At 37.8% G+C, this 21,979-nt stretch overlaps 1 pseudogene across 1 annotated transcript; it reads right to left on the minus strand.

Annotated features, from left to right (window-relative positions):
• Positions 1–8,115: 8,115 nt before the first annotated feature.
• ZNF733P (zinc finger protein 733, pseudogene) lies at positions 8,116–20,885 on the minus strand (annotated as a pseudogene). Its single transcript, NR_003952.1, has 3 exons — positions 20,779–20,885; positions 15,095–15,221; positions 8,116–9,652 (listed from the first exon to the last, which is right to left on the minus strand). The product of NR_003952.1 is annotated as a zinc finger protein 733, pseudogene (transcript).
• Positions 20,886–21,979: the final 1,094 nt, after the last annotated feature.

Here is a 21,979-nt window from a genome sequence, read left to right on the forward strand (position 1 = left end):
CACATTTATTATTTTCTTCTAAATTTACTGATGAAATACAATTCTCAGCTAAGGAAGACTTGATCTCATTCAAATACATTTTGTGAAATTTGGTTGACATTTCAGTGTTTTTGACTTAAATGGCATATTGGAAATTTCTATGAATCCAAATAGAGTGTTATACACGAACAGTCTTTTATTAAAAACCTTTCTGGGTTGGGTGCAGTGGCTCATGCCTGCAATCCCAGCTACTCAGAAGGCTGAGGCAGAAGACTGACTTGAACCTGAGAGGCAGAGGTTGAGTTGAGCCGAGATCACGCCATTGCACTCCAGCATGGGCAACAAGAGTGAAACTCCGTCTCAAAAAGAAAAAAAAAAGGCTTTGTCTTAAGATTCATAAAATTTCTTCATAATATAGAAGAAATGTGTTAACTATGTTCCCAGTAATCAACTCTGAACACTGAGCATTCTCAGTTTCCAGTATTCACTCTGAGTCATTCAGAAAAATTGGTATCTCTGTAAGGAGTCAGAAAAATGTGTTTGGGGAAGGGTCACAACATTGCACATAAATGCTTTCTACCTGCACCTGTTAGGATCTTAATCTAATTGGTCTATCATTTGCATGGCTAGATAGTTACTGGATCTAATCATACTATTTTGTGTTTTGCAGATAATGACATCTGTTACCTATAAGTTTCATACAACAATTTGCTCAGCTGAAACATGAATCTTTTGCTAATTTACCCGAAATTGAGGGACTAGATTTGCAATTTCTAATCTTTCAATGTTAGAGCAAAGTAGAGAAGAGTAATGTGTGTATGTGGTATGCATTTTCTTACTTAACTATTAAAATTCTTCTCATATTGCCTTGGACACTTTAGACAGCCACCCAAAAAATATTCTCTACTCCTTTTTTTAGCCAGGATATTAGATTTCAAAAGGTCAAGGACTTAATAATTGGGCTAAGCCAAAATCTTGTCTTTGCTTCTTTCAAAGAGCATGGCAATTATGCCAAGCCATTGAAAGATGTGGATCTGATGACTTTTGATTTCAAATGCTTTTTCTAATTGTTTGCTCTAATTGTCTTATTGTGTTAATCTAAAAGAGAACCTATCTACATAACAACTTATGCATTCACGAAATGTTCATGTTACGATGATCAAAGTTCAATATTGTAGTATAGAATAGTAGAATAGTCTAAAATTAGAAAGTCAGATTATTATTAATAAATTCATTATTTTTTTCAACATTTTCCAATGTTGAAATTAAAGAATTGGCAAGGCTTTTTCATGATAAGTTCAATTCTAGGATAGTACTCACTGGTCTGCATGGTATTTTTTTCCTTTTTTTGGCAGGAGGGGATGGAGTTTTGCTCCTGTTGCCCAGGCTGGAGTGCAATGGCATGATCTTGGCTCACTGAAACCTTCACCTCCAGGGTTCAAGCCAGTCTCCTGCCTCAGCCTCTTGAGTAGCTGGGATTACAGGCATGCACCACCATGCCCGGCTAATTTTATATTTTTAGTAGAGACGGGGTTTCTCCATGTTGATCAGGCTGGTCTTGAACTCACAATCTCAGGTGATCCACCCACCTCGCCCTCCCAAAGTTCTAGGATAACAGGCATGAGCCACCGCACCCTGCAGCTATCTTTGTCATGAATTATGTAAATCCGAGTTACCAGAATGGTGCAGAAGTGCTAATGCAATCAGAATGAAAATGAATACGGCCTTGTTGGTAGACTATTGGTATCCCAGAGGCTGATCATTTACTTCAGCTGTGTAGACATTGCTTCATAACGCCAGGGAGCCCTTTCAACCAAGTTATCTTTATTTCCCATTGATGAGGTCATGTTCTGGTCTCTGTTTTTCTTAAGCTGTCCCAGATGAGGGGTGATTATTTCTTGCATAAATGAGATCCCTTCTTTTTCCTCTGCAATGAGATCCTCCTATTCTCCTTATTGAAAGTAATATGTTGAAGGCAGAAATGGAGACAATATACAAATATATATCTTGCCATGTGGCCACCATAAACACTTTATGACATTGCTTACCAAGAAGTTTGATTAATTTCAGGGAAGCAGGGATGTTTTCTATGATGTGCTCTTTCTCTTAAAGCACCTCTGATTAAGTTTAGCCTAATCAAGATAATCTCTCGTATGATAAAAAGGAAGCCAATACATTAGTAATATAAATACATGAATACTGTTTTGCCACAGTCACACACATTTTGTGATGCTCAAGAGAAAAGGATTACACAGCAGGTGTGCACTGAAGTGGGAACCTGAGGGTCATCTGAGAATTTTCCCTACCCACCTGAATAGATTTCTAAAATCACCTTTCAGTTGCTTTTGCTGTCTTTCTAAGTAAACAAAGATATCATCTGCAAATAATAATTAATTGAACTGCTTTTCAATTGTATTCATTAAAATAATTATCTTTTTCTGGCTTATATGAAGTATTTCTTATTTGTAATATACATTCACATATATACAAATATATAGCAATACAAATGTATCCATTTTCATTTTTGTTAAATTTTTAAGAATGGATGTTAAAGGTAACTTCTTTTCTGTTTGAAGTGTTTTTATTGTTTTATTCAAGAGTATTATCTCTGGAGTTAAAGTTGATACTGTTTTAATACTGGTTTTGCTATTGTGAGCAAGTTATTTCTCTCTCTGGCTCTTTTCTTTTTTTTTTTTTGTAAATTGAAAATAATAGTGACACCTTTGTTATTAAGTTACTTTGTCTATTAGTCCATTCTCACACTGCTGAAGAACACACCAAAGACTAGGTAAATTATAAAGGAAAGAGGTTTATTTGACTCACAGTTCAGCATGGCTGGGGAGGCCTCAAGAACCTTATGATAATGGGAGAAGGTGAAGGAGAAGCAGGTATCCTTTTCACTAGGTGACGGAGAGCAGGAAAAATTACCACTTATAAAACCATCCAAACTCATGAGAACTCACTCACTATCACAAGAACAGCATGAGTATCATTCTGCCTCTGGCCCCTTCCAAATCTCATGCCCTTTTTATATTTCAAAACCAAACATGCTTTCCCAACAGTCCCCCAAGTCTTAACTCAAGTTAGCATTAACCCAAAAGTCTAAGTCCAAAGTCTCATCTGAGACAAGGCAAATCCCTGCTACCTGTGAGCCTGTAAATCAAAAGCAAGTTAGTAACTTCCAAGATACAATGGAGGTACAGGCATTAGACAAATTCTCCCACTACAAATGGGAGAAATTGGCCAAAACCAAAGAGCTACAGGCCTCATGCAAGTTGGAATTCCAATGGGGCAGTCATTAAGTCTTAAAGCTCTGAGATGTTCTCATTTGACTCCATGTCTCACATGTGGGCCATGCTGATGCAATGGGTGGGCCCTCATGGCCTTGGGAAGCTCCTTTATGGACTGGAATTGTGTGCCTCTGGCTTTTCTAGGTGCACGGTGCAAGCTCATGGTGAATCTGTTATTTAGGGGTCTGGAGTATAGTGGCCTTCTCACAACTCCAGTAGGCAGCTTCAGTGGGGACTCTGCATGAGGGCTCCAACCCCACATTTCCCTTCTGCATTGCCCTAGCACAGGTTATCCTTGAGGGCTCTGCCCCTGTAGACTTCTGCCTGAACACCCAGGCATTTTTATACATCCTCTGAAATCTAGGCAGAGGTTTCTAGAGCTCAACTCTTGTCTTCTGTGCACATGCATGGCCAATATGACATGGAAGCCACCAAGGCTTGAGGATTGCACTTTCTGAAGGAACAACCCAAGCTGTACTTTGGCCCCTTTTAGCCACAGCTGGATCTGGAGCAGCTGGGATGCAGGGCACCAGCCCCAAGGCTTCATAAAGCAGTGGGGCCCTCCCTGGGCCTCGACCATGAAACCATTTTTTCCTCCTAGAGTTCCTGGCCTGTGATAGAAGAACCTGTCTCAGATCTTTGACATGACCTGAAGACATTTTCCCCATTGTCTTGGCTATTAACATTCAGCTTCTCTTTACTTTTGTAAATTTCTGCAGTGGCTTGATTTTCTTTCCAAAAAAATGGGGTTTTATATTCTACCTCATGGTCAGGTGCAAACTTTCCAAACTTTTATGTTCTGCTTCCATTTAAAAATTAAGTTTCTCATCTCCATCTGAGACAACCTCAGCCTGGACTTTATCATCTACATCACTATTAGCATTTGGGTCAAAAGCATTCAACAAGTCTCTAGGAAGTTCCAAACTTTCCCATATTTTTCTATTTTTTTCTGAGTTCTCTAAACTGTTTCAACCTCTGCCTATTACCCAGTTCCAAAGTCACTTCCACATTTTCAACTGTCTTTATAGCAGTGCCCCAAACTACCTGTATTAATTTTCTGTATTAGTTTGTTTTCACACTACTATTAAGTTACTACCAGAGAATGGGTAATCTATACAGAAAGGAAGTTTAATTTACTCACAATTCTGCATTGCTGGGGAGGTCTCAGGAAACCTACAGTTATGGTGGAAGGCAAAGGAGAAGCAAGTACCTTCTTTACTAGGCAGCAAGAGAGAGGCAGAGCAGAAAAAAACACCACTTATATAACCACCAGATCCTTTGATAACTCACTTACTATCATGAGAACAGCATGGGGGAAAATTACCCCCATATTCCAATCACCTCCCACCAAGTCCCTCCCTTGAAACATGGGGATTACAATTTGAGATAAGATTTGGGTGGGATAAAATTTTACAGTAACGAATTCAATACAAGTCACAGAATATAGATTTTTTTGAGAATCTCTGAGGTTTCCAGGTTTCTCTTTAATTATCCACCTTATTAAAATAATCTTTTTTGTTTCAATATTGTTCTTCTGTTCTGAAAATGCATACAAACACACACAAACACACTCAGTTGCTACATAACTTTCTTATATGTGTGTATATATATATGTATATATATTCATTTATTTTTTTAATGGTGTCTCGCTCTGTCATCCTGGCTGGAGTGCAGGTCTGCCACCTTGGCTCACTGCAACCTCTGCCTCCCAGGACCAAGCGATTCTCCTGCCCCAGCCTCCCTAGTTGCTGGGAATACAGGCATGTACCACCACGCCCAGCTAATTTTTTGTATTTTTAGTAGAGATGGGGTTGCACCATGTTGGCCAGGCTGGTCTTGAACTCCTGACCTCAAATTATCTGCCCCACTCAGCCTCACAAAGTGCTGAGATTACAGGCATGAGCCACAGTGCCTGGCTGATATATCTTTAGAGTAATATATTTGTATATATAACTCTATGTAAATCAAAACTAAAAGTCTGTTTTTGTTTGTCAGCAGAGAGGCCACATGTACAAAAAATATACAAAACAATTTTTTAAAAATATTTAATCAAGACTCAGAAATGTATATTAATTATACTCATGCAATTTTTATGACCATAAAATGACCCTATGGTTAGTAATAATTCAATTGTACATATTAAAATAAAACTGTATAATGAGCTTGTAATACAAAGGATAAATACGTGCTCGAGTTGAGGAATACCTCATATACGCTGCTGTGATAATTAACTAACGTATGCCTGTGTTAAAATATCTCATATATGCCATAAGTGTGTATGCACACTATCCACCCACAAAATTTTTTTAGAAATCTAAATAGGGTAAAAAAGAATACAAATTTGATCTATGAGAAAAAAATTATTCTACTTATTTGCAGTTTAAACCACTGGCAGGACAGGCATGGTGACCCACACTTGTAACCCCACCAATTTGGGGCACTGAGGTGGGTGGATCACCTGAGATCAGGAGTTAAAGACCAGCCTGGCCAACATGGTGAAACCCCATCTCTACTAAAAATACAAAAATTAGCCAGGCGTGGTGGAATGTGCATGTAGTCCCTGCTACTTGGCAGACTGAAGGCAGGAGAATCGCTTGGACCCAGGAGGTAAAGTTTGCAGTGAGCCGACATCATGCCACTGCACTCCAGCCTAAGCAACAGAGCAAGACTCCATTTCAAAACAAACAAACAAACAAACAAACAACACTGGCAAAAAAGAGATTACTAGAGATGTCATTCCCCTACATTAACAAATAGCACATTGTTACCATCTTTTACTTAGAACCTTAAGTAAAATGGGACCCATTAAATCTGATGACAAATTAACACTTCATTCAAAGCACAATAGTTTTAACACATTAAAAGCAACTTTGTTTAATGAAAAAATTAAGATGACACATAATCTTTAAAAAATTTTTAAATTTATTGCATTTTATTACATAAACGTACAATTGATAAAAAACAATCTCTCCTATCTCTGATGAAACAACTGATCAAATACTTTCACAAACAATAGGAAGAGTCAACATGACGGAATCTGAGACTTGAGTTACATTATTATTTGCTTTTCAGAAACTATTTTTTTATAGAAGAAAGAAACATACCTCGAAGGTAATTATGAATCTCGAAAAAAACTACTTCTTTAACATGTATATGGTGTTAGCTTTGGATCTCTTTTACACTGAACCCTCTGATTTAGTGTAATGTATGAAGTTTCAGTGCCTTCATTCTTTCTACTGTGACCCCTCAGATGTTTATATAGACTTAATTTTTGATTTAATATGTTTTCCCCATTTACTGGTTCTGCAAAAATATTTAGTACAAACTGGTGTTTTCTAAGCTGTAGGTTTTGAACAAATGTTTTTCACATTCATTACATGTTTAGACTTTCTCCCCAATATAAATTCTCTAATGTTCAACAACGTTTGAGCATCTTCTCAGATCTTCAAATTTTTCCTTTAATATAAAATGTGTACAATAAAATCTGTAATGGAAGTAAAGGTACAGCAATCCTCTTTAAGTTTGTATGTTTGTCTTCAGAATAACTGGTCTTTACTTTAAAGGCCTATATTTTCCAAAAGGTCTTTTTACAGTAATCACATTTATAATTTTTTTTTGAGACGGAGTCTTGCTCTGTCACCCAGGCTGTAGTGTAGTGGCTCTATCTCAGCTCACTGCAACCTCTGCCTCCCCGGTTCAAGCAATTCTCCTACCTCTGCCTGCCGAGTAGCTGGGATTACAGGTGCACGCCACCACACCCGGCTAGTTTTTCTATTTTTAGTAGGGATGGAGTTTCACCATGTTGGCCAGGCTGGTCTTGAACTCCTGACCTCATGATCCACCGACCTTGGCCTCCCAAAGTGCTGGAATTATAGGCATGAGCCAACACACCTGACCTATAATCCCTTTATTAAGTATAAACTTTCTGATATTGAGTAAGATGTGACCTGATATTAATGGCTTTTCACATTCTTTGTATTTGTACAATTTTTCTCTAGTATAAATGCTTTCCTGTACCATAAGGTGTGAGAATTTGTTAAAAGTTTTGCCACATTCTTCATATTTGTAGGAGTCTTCTTCAGTATAAACTATCTTACTACCATAACGTGTGACTACCATTTAAAGTCCTTGCTAAATTTAACACATTTCTAGAGTCTCTCACCAGTATGATTTCTCTTTTTTAGAAAAGTTTGAGGTGTGCTTAAATGCTCTGTCACAGTTTTATGTAAGCAGAGTTTCTCTCCAGTATAAAATTTTTTAGTGAGTAAGCATGGAGAACCAGTTAAAGGGTTTGCCACATTTTTTTCTACAATTGCAGGGTTTCTCTCCAATATCAATTATCTTACATTTATTCAGGTTTGAGGACTTTTTAAAGACATTACCATATTGCTTATTGCAGGGTTTCTCTTCAGTATTAATTCTCTTATGTATAATAAGGGTTCAAGACTAGTTAACAGCTTTACCACATTCTTTGCTTTTGTAGAGTTTCTCTCTAGAATGAATGATCAGATATTATGTAAGGCCTGAGATGTGCTTAAAGGTTTTGTCACTTTTTTTTTGTTTCTAGGGTCTCTGTAATATAAGTTCTCTTAGGCTTTGGGAGGCTGACAAAGGTGGATCACCTGAGGTCAGGAGTTCAAGACCAGCCTGGCCAACATGGTGAAACTCTATCTCTACTAAAAATACACAAATCAGCCAGTGTGGTGGCACACGCCTGTAATCCCAGCTACTCAGGAGGCTGAGGCAGGAGAATCGCTTGAACCTGGAAGGCAGAGGTTACAGTGAGCTGAGATCATGCCACTGCACTCCAGCCTGGGTGACACAGGGAGACTCCAACTCAAAAAAATTTTTTTAAAATAAATTCTCTTAGGTTTATTAAGGTTTGAGGGTTGGTTAAAGGCTTTGTTACATTTTTTTACATTTATAAAATTTCTGTCCAATATGAATTCTCTTACGTTCAATTAAGGTTTGGAACTGGTTAAAGGCTTGGCCACATTCTCTACATTTGTAGTGTTTTTTTCCAGTGTAAATTATTTTATGTATTATAAGGCCTGAGGGTGGACTTTGCCACATTATTCACATTTGTAGGGTTTCTCTCCAGTGTGAATTATCTTATGTTTAGCAAGACTTGAATGCCACTTAAAAGCTTGGTCACATTCTTCACATTTGTAGGGTTTCTCTCCAGTATGAATTCTCTTATGTTGCATAAGGGTTGAGGAGCAATTAAAGGCTTTGCCACATTCTTCACATGTGTAGGGTCTCTCTCCAGTGTGAATTCTCTTGTGGTCAGTGAGGGTTGAGGATAAGCTAAAGGCTTTGCCACATTCTTCACATTTGTAGGGTCTCTCTCCAGTATGAATTCTCTTGTGGTCAGTGAGGGTTGAGGATAAGCTAAAGACTTTGCCACACTCTTCACATTTGTAGGGTCTCTCTCCAGTATGAATTCTCTTGTGGATAGTAAGTGCTGAGGAGCGCCTAAAGTCTTGGCCACATTCTTCATATGTGTAGGGTTTCTCTCCAGTATGAATTCTCTTATGTCTAGTAAGGTTCGAGGATAAGCTAAAGGCTTGGCCACATTCTTCACAGGCATAGGGTTTTCTCTAGTATGAATTCTCTTATGTCTAGTAAGGTTTGAGGACCAGCTAAAGGCTTTGCCACATTCCTCACACCTGCAGGGTTTCTCTCCAGTATGAATTCTCTTGTGGTCAGTGAGGGTTGAGGATACGCTAAAGGCTTTGCCACATTCTTCACATTTGTAGGGTCTCCCTCCAGTATGAATTCTCTTGTGGTTAGTAAGTGCTGAGGAGCGCCTAAAGGCTTGGCCACATTCTTCACATGTGTAGGGTTTCTCTCCAGTATGAATTCTCTTATGTCTAGTAAGGTTTGCGGACCAGCTAAAGGCTTTGCCACATTCCTCACATCTATATGGTTTCTCTCCAGTATGAATTATTTTATGTGTAGTATGGTTTGAGGAGCAGTTAAAGGATTTGCCACATTCTTTGCATTTGTAGGACTTCTCCCTAGTATGAATTACCTGATGTTGATTTAGGTGTGAAAGCATGCAAAATGATTTGCCATATTTGTTACATTTGAAATGTTTCTTTCCAGTATATCTTGTTTTATCTCTATTGGAATTTGAAAATTTACCAAAGACTTTGACATATTTATGAGTCTGAAATATTTTGTTTTGGGTAGTTGACAAACATTGGTTAACTTCACTATAACCTCTTTGGGCACCTCACATTCACCCACACTTTTACAGCATTTTTTAAATTGTAATTTCTCATGTCCACATTTTCCATATGTTCTTGGTATTACTTTTTGGAGTGAATCTTTGATGCCCTGCTCTGGCTGAAGGTCTTGGGTGAAATGGGAATGCGTAACTGAAAGACACAAAAAGCACAAGTTACTCCACTTTCTGGACTCATATAAATGTATTCTACACATGAAATATATAAAATTACACAAGGTACATTAGCAAAATGCCATATCAAAATACCACAGGCCATAATTCCTTCATAGATGTATAAATGTAACAAAATCATAGTGATCAAAATACCTTTGTTGGAAATTTATAAATAAAGTAAGTGTGTGCACCATGTGAGCACGATGTCCAGAGCCATATAGAGAGAAAAGAAAGGTCTGCTACATTTACCCAACACAGCCCTTCCTCATGCCCAGTAGAAGAACATAGTGCCTTTAATAACAGCTTTAAGTCTTCTGAGCTCAAAAGTGAATGTTACAACCGCAGAAAGACTGCAGTATGATGGGTAGAAGATAGGTGTAGAACGTAGTTACTGACCACTAAGAAGAAATATGAAGAAGTCTTTTAATTGAAAAATAAATACAAATTGCAGACAAAACACATCCTGAGAACATGTTTGTGAGAATCCCAGAATCTCTACCAAAGACAATTGGTGTCATGCTATGAGAGGAAGGAGCTGCATTATAAAGATCATGAAAGGTAGTTTTATGTTAGTGTCTAAATCTCCAACAAAGATTACAATGTATATAAAACATGAGGACAACATGGTCCAATCAAAAAAATCAAAAATTTTGAAAAAGCAACTATAAAAATAAAGATGTACATCTTGATTTTTAAAATTTAAGATAATCCATATTATGCTCAATGAGAAAAATGGAAAACCAGACACCTAAATAAAATAAGAAAAATAAGAATACCAACAAAACTTGCAATAATAAAAATAAACAAGGTGGAGGTAAAAAAGAATAACTGAAAAAATTTAAAAGTAAGAAAAAAGTACGTAAAAAATGAAGAAGCTAAACAAACAAACTAGGATATACACAAAAAGATCCGCAACACAAATTTAAGCAAAGTTTCAAAAGTCACAAACCAGAAGATAATCTTGGGAGCTGCAAGATAAAAGTGAAGTATTATTTATAAGCATAGTCCTCTGAGACAACCAGTGAATTTGTAAACAGAAACCTTGCAGGTCAGAAAAGAACTGTGTAAAATGGTCAAAGGCTGAAAAAAATTTTCATGGTGAGAATAATAAAACCAGAAAAATGTACTACAACATAAAGAAAAATAAAACTCTTCCAGAATGAATAAATGCTGGAAAAGCACATAATCATTGTATGTGCCCTACATAAAATGCTGAAAAGAGGTCTTTCCACTTAAAACAACATGATGAAAAATATATGTAATCATATGAAAATACATAACTTTCTGAAAAACATATGCATATACAAAAAGTAAAATTCTGTGGCATTATTGTGATGGTGCAGAAAATACTTTTAGTTATTCTTTAAAATTTGAAAAATATAAGCATAAAAAACATAAAACATAAAAAGATATAATTAGCAACATCAATAAGAAGTATAGGGTAGATATAATGAGGACAAATTTTTCTATGCAACTGAAGTCATTTTTTTTTACCAGTTTAAAATATACTGTTGTAACATTTAAGATGTTTTACAGAATCTCCAATGTAGCACAAAGAAAAAATCTTTATAGACACACGAAAGCAAATGAGTCAATTACTAGCATGAGACAAAGATTGATATTATATAATGGTAAAATGAGTCCATTTACTAGGAATCTATAATTATTATGTCTATCTACATGTATATGCATATATAACATCAGGGCTTCAAAACATATAAAGCAAATATTGACAGAAATGAAGCAAGAAATAAAATAGCAACACAAAATTATAAACATTAAGACCTCCTTTTCAATAATAAATAAAAAATTTAAATAAAAGATCAATTAAAAAAACTGAAAACCTGAAGAATATTATATTGTGTATGAATTTATTTTGCATTGCTATAGAAAATAACCTCAGACTGGGTAATTCATAAAGAAAAAGATTTTTTGATTCACAGTTCAGTAGACTGCACAAGAAGTATATGCCAGCATCTGCTTCTGGTGAGGATATGAGGAAGCTTACAATTATAGTGGAAGGCAAAGAAGAACCAAACATGTCACATGGTGAAAGACGATGTGAGTGTGAGGTGGAGGAGCCAGGTTCCTTTAAGCAACCAGCTCTCATGTGAATTAATAGCGTGAGAACTCTATGATTGTGCCAAGTCATTCATGAGGGACTTGTCTCCATGATGCAAACAGCTCTCATTAGGCCCCACATCCAACAGTGGAGATTACATTTCAACATGCCATTTGGAGGGCATCTACACCATATCACAAACCAAATAGGCTAAACAGACATGTACAGAACTCTCCAGTCAAAAGCAAGTAGATACACAATATTCTTATTTGCACCTGGTGCATTCTGTTAGAACACATAAGTCTTGGTAAATTTCAAAAGATCAGCCAGGTGCAGTGGCTCACAGGTGTAATCCCAGCAGTTTGGGAGGCCAAGGTGGAAGAATCACTTGGGGCAAGAAGTTTGATACTAGCCTTGGGAACACAGTGAGACCCTGTCTCTACAAATAATTCAAAATTAGCTGAGCATTGTGGGGTATGCCTCCAATGCCAGCTGCTCAGTAGGCCAAGGTGAAAGGATTACTTGAGTTCAAGAGGTTGAGGCTGCAGTGAGCCAAGATTGTGCTACTGCACTACAGTCTGGGAAACAGAGTGAGAAACTCTGAGTCAAAAAAAAAATAAGAAGAGCAAAATCATACAGTATATGTTTTCTAACCCAAACTGAATAAAACTAAAAAGAAAAAAAGTAATACTGGCAAATCAAAAATACATGGAAATAAACACACTCTTCACTGTATTCTTGCACAGGGTCAAATAATTTAAATTAATTTAATATTTTTTCTCAAGGGCCAACATATTTAAGTGATGACTTAATTTGTTAAGACCCACAGTGGTGAACAAATTTAATATAATCTGTATCAAAATTCCAAAAGTATATTTATTCCTGAAATATTGTTTAAAATTTTTAAATTTTATTATGAACCAAATCTAGAGAAACACACATGAAAAACACAGAGGCACTATACTTCATAATTTCAAAACATAATAAAAAGCTGCAATAACAATAACTATGTGGTATTCACAAAAAGACAGATAAAGACATGATAGAACAAAATAGAAAGCCCAGCAATGAACTCTTCTGTGTATGACCAAATAATCTGCCTCAAGGTTGCCATGAGCAGACAATGGAGAAAATATAATCCCTTCAACAGATGATGTTGAAAACTGGACATCTACATTGAAAAAAATGAAGTTGAATGGTTTAATTGCATCACATACAAAAAATATTTTAAACAAAGTACTTAGACTAAGAAAAACCTAATGAAACTCTTAGAAAAAAAGTATAGTGCAAAGACATGACATTGGTCTTGGCACATTTTCTTAGATATGCCATCAAATGCATGCGCAACAAAGAGGAGAACAGAAAAATTTAATTGGGCTAAACTTCAAAATTTCTGCAATCAAATAAAACATTTAATAGAGTGACAGTGTCTCCCAAGAAATCGGTGACAATATTTGAAAATCACATGTGATAAGACTTAATATTGAGAATACATAAACTACTCCTAGAACTAGACAACAATAATTGAATTACTTGATTTAGAAATGGACAAATGAGCCAGGTGCGGTGGCTCACACGTGTGATCCCAGAACTTTGGGAGGCTGAGGTGGGCAGATCACCTGAGGTCAGGAATTCGAGACCAGCCTGACCAACATGGCGAAACCCATCCCTACTATAAATACAAAATTAGCTGGGTGTGGTGGCACATCCCTGATCCCAGCTACTCAGGGGGCTGAGGCAGGAGAAACATTTGAATCCAGGAGGCAGAGGTTGCTGTGAGCTGAAATCGTGCCATTGCTCTTGTTGCCTAGGAAACAAGAGTGAAACTCCGTCTCAAAAAAGAAAGAAATGGAAAAATGATTAAACTAAATTTTAATAAAAAAGATATACAAAGGGGAAGAAGCATTTGAAAGGTTGCACAAAATTAATAATTTATAGAAAAATGCAAAACATAATCACAAAACAAAATCACCTTACATCAATTAGGATGGCCACTATAAATTTTTTTAAAACACCAACTGTTGACGATGTAAAGAAATTGAAACCTATGTAAGTTGTTTTTTATGAGAAAAAAGATACAGCCATCATAAAAACATCATAAGCATTCTTTAAATAATCTAAAATGAAATTATTATATAATACAGCAATACCATTTATGAGTCTATATCTAAAATATGCAACACAGTAAAATGAAGGCATAAAAGGTACCCTGCTTGCATATCCCCCCACAGCAAGTGCAAGTGGGGGGATAACCAAGCCTCTAAATAAATAAATACATATAAAAAATTAAACAATTTGTAAAAAATTTGTAAAAACTTTAAAATATATTTCAAGGCTATAGTAATAAAAACAGAATGGCATGTGCAGAAAAATGGATGACCACCAATGAAAGAGAAACTACTATTCTCACACATCTTAGACATGATGCAAAAAAAAAATTTTAATGGTTTAGAGTTTTCCAAAAATATGCAGATATTAGTGTGTCCCCAAAAGCAATGGCAAAGCAGTCAGTTTGCGCAGTCCCTGATAACCTTTAAAGAAAACTTTGGCTCACACTGTGAACCTGAAGAAAGATTATTGAAGCAGAAGTGGAATCCTTAGAGACTTTAACAGCATGAGGCAGGAGGTGTCCCTATGTGAGAGCAAAAGGAAAAAATGACTTGAGCTTCTCAGAAACTCTTTTCATCAAAGGACAGCTCCCCAGACCACATTTTAAGGACTGGCTGCCTCCTTTATTTGTGTACCTCTCATCTGTCTCATCTGCTTCATTTGCTCTCACCTACCTGGGCGTTTGGCTACCATCTCATTTCTCTTTATATTCTGGGACTCTTTATTTTGCTCCAGACAGGTGATCAAGTCTGGCTTAGAGACAGCAATACCTGTTTTATTAAGAAAAAAAAGTAACATAGATCATGCTGAATTCTTTAATTACCAAATTAGTATTATGCTTAGAGGATATAATAGAAAATTCTAGAAAATTAATATTGATTCATAATAGAACTTTCTAAATATTCAGAAAATATTTTAAATTTGTAGGTCCTTAATTTCACTACTCAGTACTACTGAATCAAAAATTGGTGGCAGCAACTGAATTCTAATGTGTGGGCAACGATCTTTTATGCCATGGCATTTTTGGAATTCCCACTAACCTAGAGCAAAAGATACATAAGCTCAGGAAAGGCAAAAGTTCTGGTCAAGATAAAACATCTTGAAGAATTTGTTCTACAGCAATGAATCCCCAAGATTTTCTTAAAATTGGAGATCTAAAATTCATTCATGCAAAGCAGAAATTACCAAAAACATCTTAGAAAAGAGAAAAGCAATATATTAGGAATTATGTATTGAAGTTATCCTCACCCAGGGAGACCAAGTTTCTGTAGTTCTCTAACATCACATGTCTATATAAATTCCGCTGAGCACAATCCAGGCATTGCCATTCCTCCAGAGAGAATTCTATAGCTATGTCTCTGAATGTCAACAGTCCCTGGAAAACAAACAAACAAGCAAAACCACTCATGAACACACAAGCACTTACCACATGGCCATAGGCAGAGATTTTTATTTGACTCAAGTTAAAAAAGAGAGTAAAAAGAAGTGGTTCTCACTTACAAGAGTGACTAAAATTATTCAATAAGATAATTTTTAACACTGAAGTATTCTCTAACTCTGAGAAAAGAGGATAGCATAAGATCCACAATACCACTGTAGATTTGATACTTTTCTGGATGATACATTATAAAATTAAGGGCATCAACATGGACATGTCTTTTTCTTTTCTTCTTTTTTTTTGAGACCGAGTCTCACTCTGTTGCCCAAGCTGGAGTGCAGTGGTATGATCTTGGCTCAGTGCAACCTCCACCTCCCGGGTTCAATCGATTCTCCTGCCTCAGCCCCCTGAGTAGCTGGGACTACAGGCATGAGCCACCATGACTGGCTAATTTTTGTATTTTTAGTAGAGACGGGGTTTCTCCATGTGGACCTGGCAGGTCTTGCACTCCTCACCTCAGGTGATCCACCCACCTCAACCTCCCAAAGTGCTGGAATGGTAGGCATGAGCCACTGCACCTGGCCGGACATGTCCATTTTTGAGTGCTATATTTACATCATATAGAATAAGTTGTGTATATTTCTCAGATAGAAGAGTCATGATGAATTGGAAGATACCTCTCAAGTCTTAGTATGTGCAATAACTAAAGATCTTGTGAGATTTTGTTTCAGGAGATTTCGGAGGAAGTCTGAATTTCTGAATTTTTAGCAAGCTCACCAATGTTTCTAGCCTAGTAAGAATATTTTGTCAAATATCCAGTAAATGGCAGAGTTTGGGTTTTTCCCAGTTTCTCTCACCTGTAAATAAAGATAAGAGCCTTCATTTTTAAAAGACAAATATAAGCAAAAGTCATCTAAAAGGAAAGGACAGCTTCCAGATTAAATGCAACGGTTTATGCACTTCAGCTAGTAAATCTCCTAAGTGTCCTTAATAATTAAGAGAATAAGAATTAACTCTAGAGTGGAAAAAAATGTCATAGAGATCTTGAACCAAGTGAATAAAATTGTTATCAACTTTATTAGGACACATTTTTATTATGTGCTGATGCACACACAACACAGCATCACTGCTGTGGCATTTCTCTCCTCTCAGAAAAGTAAATTATAATCTACATTTAATTTTATTATATATATATATATATATATATTTTTTTTTTTTTTTTTTTTTTTTTTGAGACAGAGTCTCGCTGTGTCACCCAGGCTGGAGTGCAGTGGTGCCATCTCATCTCACTGCAACCTCAACTTCCTGAGTTCAAGCAATTCTCCTGCCTCAACCTCCCAAGTAGCTGGGATTACAGGTGCATGCACCATGCCTGGCTAATTTTTTTTTTTTTTAGTAGAGATGGTGTTCCACCATGTTGGTCAGGCTGGCCTTGAACTCCTGACCTCACGTGATCCGCCTGCCTCGGCCTCCCAATGTGCTGGCATTACAAGCCAAAGCCATTGCGCCTGGCCTAAATTTAATCATAAAGAAACATCAGTTTTATGCAAAGTTGAAGGTGCAGATAACTTCCCTGTTCTGCAATTTTTATTAGTAATTTTAAGGAGTCTTTCCTTAGCACCCTGGAAAGCAAGTATCTCCTAACAGTTTTTTCAGAACTTTCTGTATAATAAATGCCACCCTGTTTAAATGAGCATTTTCTAAACGCTGTTCTGCATGGAACTAATAGAGCACACAGATGAAACCTCAATATAACATGTTTCACTTTTCACTAATCTCCAAAGACAACGGTGTTTCCCCAATAGAAATCTTGAGTATCCACACCTTCTAATGTTCAACAGCTACAATGGGAACATTTTATATATCGTAGGTCATAAATTTGTGGTAAGAATTCTGCATGATATACAAGAATCCAAGATGAAGAGAAATGTATAGAATGCTATGGCATAGAGAAAACAAATATTTTTTTCAGAACCCCTTGACTATCATAAAAATCACAAAAAATAGTTGAAACAAACTCATTAGGGATCAACAGCACGAGTAGAGAAGTAAAACTTTGCAAGTTCTGAACACAAGGCATTCCAAAAGGCAGAGTGGACACTGCGCTTGATCTGAGACATGCTCACCTGAGAAAAAGTGATTTGTTTCTTTTCCTCCTCTTTCTCTGAAATGTATTTTCAGATAAGATGCTCTGGACATATCAAACCTGCATCTTGAGAATATGACTTTAAAGTGCAACCTATTCACCTGCTACCACCACACACACCCACGGGCGGAAGACCGAGACTTGCAGAAAACATTCACCCATTTTTGTTGTTTATAACTGAAAAGATTTAAGAGCAATGAGAGAACAATGAGCTTCTCCACAGCTATTAAAATATAAGTTTCTTTGTCTCTGCCCTCCCCTATCAGAAACCAGCAATTTTCTTTAGAGTAATGGGAACATGAACCGCACTGACCTCTTCCTACCAAACTGAAACAGGGCAGGCAGTGCAGCCTTCCTTTGAGGCAAAGGTTGAACTAAACTCTCCTGAATGTATCTTGAACCCCTCAAGTTTATAAATCACTTGGTAATCTTGGCCCCGCTCTATGCAACGTGATTCTGCAGGATCCAAAAGGGTCCAGGAATGGGCTTTTACAGCAAGTCCCCTGTAAATGCTGATTGTGCTTTCCCAGACACATTATTAGCATTAGCAAGAGAAAGCAGGCACAGCAGAGTCCCTTACACACACCACATTTGTCACAATACTAATACTTCTGCTACAAATAAAAACAACCAATTTCCACCCTGAAATGCTATATTTTTGTTGGCTTTTTTAAGTTTACAGGGACAACAGAAGACAGCAACGTCTGAGTGAATCTGCACCTGGGAAACCTGTACACATGTACTAATAAAACGTTTACTAAGCAGGTACTGTGTGCTCAGGAGCATGTCACAGAACACTGCGCTGGGAATAACACATTTTGTGATTTAATTTTCATAGCACCCTGGGAGTTGGTACTAAGTGCTGAATAATTTTTAGCATTTAGATTAAGAGCACAGCATTTTTATTTCTTCTTATCTTTCTCATTAATTTTAAAAAGAAAATGTATAGAATAATTCAATACAAAAAAAACATGTGAAAGGATGCATTTACATAAAAATGGAATAATCAGCTTCCAAATGGCTATTTTGGAAATAATGAAATTAAGGCAGAAATAAAATTTTTGAAACTAATTACAACCGAAATACAACATACCAGAATCTCAGGGTTAGAGCTAAGGCAGTGTTAAGAATAAAATGCATATCACTAAACATCCATATCAAAAAGTTAGAAAGATCTCAATTTAAAAATCTAATGTTACAATTAAAAGAATTTCAAAAGTAAGAGCAAACCAACTTCACAGCTCACAAAAGTCAAGAAATAACCAAAATCAGAGCCAAAATGAAGAAGTTTGAGACATAAATAACTATAAAAAGTTCAATGGGCCACGCATGTGCTGTGGCTCGCTCCTGTAATCCCAGCACTTTGGGAGGCCAGGGCGGGAAGATCACGAGTTCAGGAGTTTGAGACCAGCCTAGCCAACATGGTGAAAGCCCATCTCTACTAAAAACACAAAAATTAGCTGGCCGTGGTGGCACATGCCTGTAATCCCAGCTACTCGGGAGGCTGAGGCAGGAGAATTGCTTGAAACTGGAAGGCAGAGGTTGCAGTGAGCTGAGACCGCACCACTGCACTCCAGCCTGCGTGTAAGAGTGAAACTCTGTCTTAAAAAAAAAATTCAAAGGAACCAGAAGTTGATTCAATGTAAACATAATAAGATAGATAAAACACTAGACTGATGGGAAAAAAAGAAATAATTCAAATAAAAACAATTAGAATAAAAAGTAAAAACAAAAACAAAAACAGATGCTTGTGAGGTTGTGGAGAAATTGAATGCTTATATGCTGCTGGTGAAAGTATAAATTTATTTAACCATTGAGAAAAGCAGCTTGGCATTTTTTCAAAAACCTGAAAACAGAATTACCATTCCCAATCCCGCAATTGGGAACATACCCAGTGAATGTAAGTTTTTCTACCATGAACACACATGCACGCGTATGTTTATTACAGCACGATTCACAATAGCAAAAACAAGAAATAATCCTGTATGTCTTCAATGGTAGACTGGATAAGGAAAATGTGGTATGTAAACACCATGAAATAGGATGCAACTATAAGAAAGAACAACATCATGTACTTTGCAGCAACGTCGATGGAACTAGAGACCGTTATTTTTAGAAAACTAGTGCAGGAACAGAAAATAAAAAACTGTATGTTGTCACTTATAAGTGGGAGCAAAATAATGAGAACACGTGGACACAAATAAGAGAACAACAGACACTGAGGCTCAGTTCAGGGTAGAGGATCAGAGGATGAAGAAAATCAGAAAACAAATCTGTTGGGTACTATGCTTAGTACCTGAGTGATAAAATAATCTGTACACAAAAACTTCATGATATGATTTTACCTATACAACAAACCTGCACATGTACCCCTGAACCTAAAATAAAAGGTAAAAAAAAAAAAAAAAAATCGGCTGGGTGCGGTGGCTCACACCTGTAACCCCAGCCCATTGGGAGGCTGAGGCAGGCAGATCACCTGAGGCCAAAAGTTGGAGACCAACCTGGCCAACATGGTGAAATCCCGTCTCTACTACAAATACAAAAATTAGTTGGGCCTGGTGGCACACACCTGTAATTCCAGCCACTCGGGAGGCTAAGGCAGGACAATTACTTGAACCTGGGAGGCGGAGGTTGTAATGAGGTGAGATCGCACCACTGCACTCCAGCCTGGAGGACAGAGCGAGACTCCCTCTCAAAAAAAAAAAAAAAAAAAAAAAAAAAAGCATTTCTTGGAAATTACTATCTTGAAGAAAATATTCAAGCCTAGGCAACCACAGCCTGCCAATTAATCTCTGATGACATAACCAAGAAATTTTTACCTGGATCTCACAAATAAACTACATAACTGTACCAAACCAATTATTGAATCTGGTTTGCTTCGTCATGAAACTTATAACAGACTTTTCTTCAAGTCTCTCCCATGGATCACAACCCACAAACCATAGCTGGGCACTCTATGATTCTTGAATCACACTTTGATCAGATTCTCATTTTTAGAGTGACTCCCGTACATCTCTAAAAGGAAAAATGAGGAACTAAGGACCCCAGGACCACAGCTCTTTCCACTCATGAATCTTGCACCCTGAGTCAGGATTCTCCCCTGATGACTTTCCCATCCCTGTACAATCTGGGTGAGATGAGGCGCTGGGAGTGCAGAGCAAACCAGAGAGGCCTCCAGTCCAGGGTAAAGCCACTGCAGAGGAAAAAGACAGAAATCCCAGGGTCCCAGGCGCTGGCCCAGGCACCATCTTGCGGCTGGAGGGGACGAGAGCCGAGCTGGGCCAAAGACGATTTGGGTCGTCAGGCTCTGGAGCTGACTGCGAGAAAGTCTGGGACCTGCTACAGCCACTTTCTGCCGGTTCCAACCAGCCCCCACCCCTCTCTCACGATGACAGACCCAGCACTCACCATTTCCCGGCTTCCAGGGGGTCCCGGTCTTTTAGCCATAAATCTGCAGATACCTGCAGGACACAAGGACACATAGGCTTGGCCTCTAGGAGCAGAGGACACAGAGCAGTGAAGAGAAGAACTGCAGCTCTGGACGCAGAAAAACACAAAGGACCCGCAAAATTACGGAAGTAGCCTGTTCTTTCCAGCTGCATGCCTGATTGGACAGTTTCTAGACCACGGCTCCTGATTGGATAAGGTTTCAGGCCCCACCCTTCATGCCCTGAGTGAGGGAATATTTGATCAGACACTGGGCTGAGCGAAGCAAAAATAACAGCCTAGGCTGCAGCCTTCACAGGCAGGGCTTCTTCCTTGATCTGAGCCAGGCCAACTTCAGAGGATATTTGCATTTAACCTTGTGTATAATGTCATATGCATTTATAAATGATATATAATATTTATTCATAAATTGAAATAATGACAATTATTTTAAAATTTAGGATTTTATGCCCTTCCTTGCTGCGGATCCTTTGCAGTGATATGGTGTGACTTTCTGGCTCCACCCAAATCTAATCTCAAATTGTAATTCCCGTCCATGTGCGGTGGCTCACACCTATAATCCCAGCACTTTGGGAGGCCGAGGCGGGCAGGTCACTAGTTCAGGAGTTCGAGACAGGCCTGGCAAATACGGTGAAACCCCGTCAATACTAAAAATACAAAAATTAGCCAGGCGTGGCAGCGTGCCTGTTAGTCCCGGCTACTCGGGAGACTGAGGCAGGAGAATTGCTTGAACCCAGGGGGTGGAGGTTGCAGTGAGCCGAGATGGCGCCATTGCACTGCAGCCTGGGTGACACAGAGAGACTTCCTCTGAAAGAAAAAAAAAATTGTAATTCCCATTTGTCAGGGCAGGGACCGGGCAGGAGGTGATTGGATCATTGGTGTGGATTATCCTCATGCTGTTCTGGTAGTAGTAAGGGAGCTCTCAAGACACCTGATGGTTTAAAAATGTGGCACGTCCTCCCCGGTTCTCTCTCTTTTTCCACCATGTAAGATGTGCCTTGCTTTCCCTTCACCTTCTGTCATGGTCATGAATTTAAGTTTCCCAAGGATTCTGCAGCCATGTAGGGCTATGATTCAATTTACTTTAAAAAAAAAATTACGCGGTTTGAGCTATTTGTCTGTAGCAGTGTGAAAATGGACTAATACATGCGGACAGCCTGAG

Source organism: Homo sapiens, chromosome 7 (genome assembly GCF_000001405.40).
Source record: "Homo sapiens chromosome 7, GRCh38.p14 Primary Assembly".
Classification (NCBI taxonomy): Eukaryota; Metazoa; Chordata; class Mammalia; order Primates; family Hominidae; genus Homo; species Homo sapiens.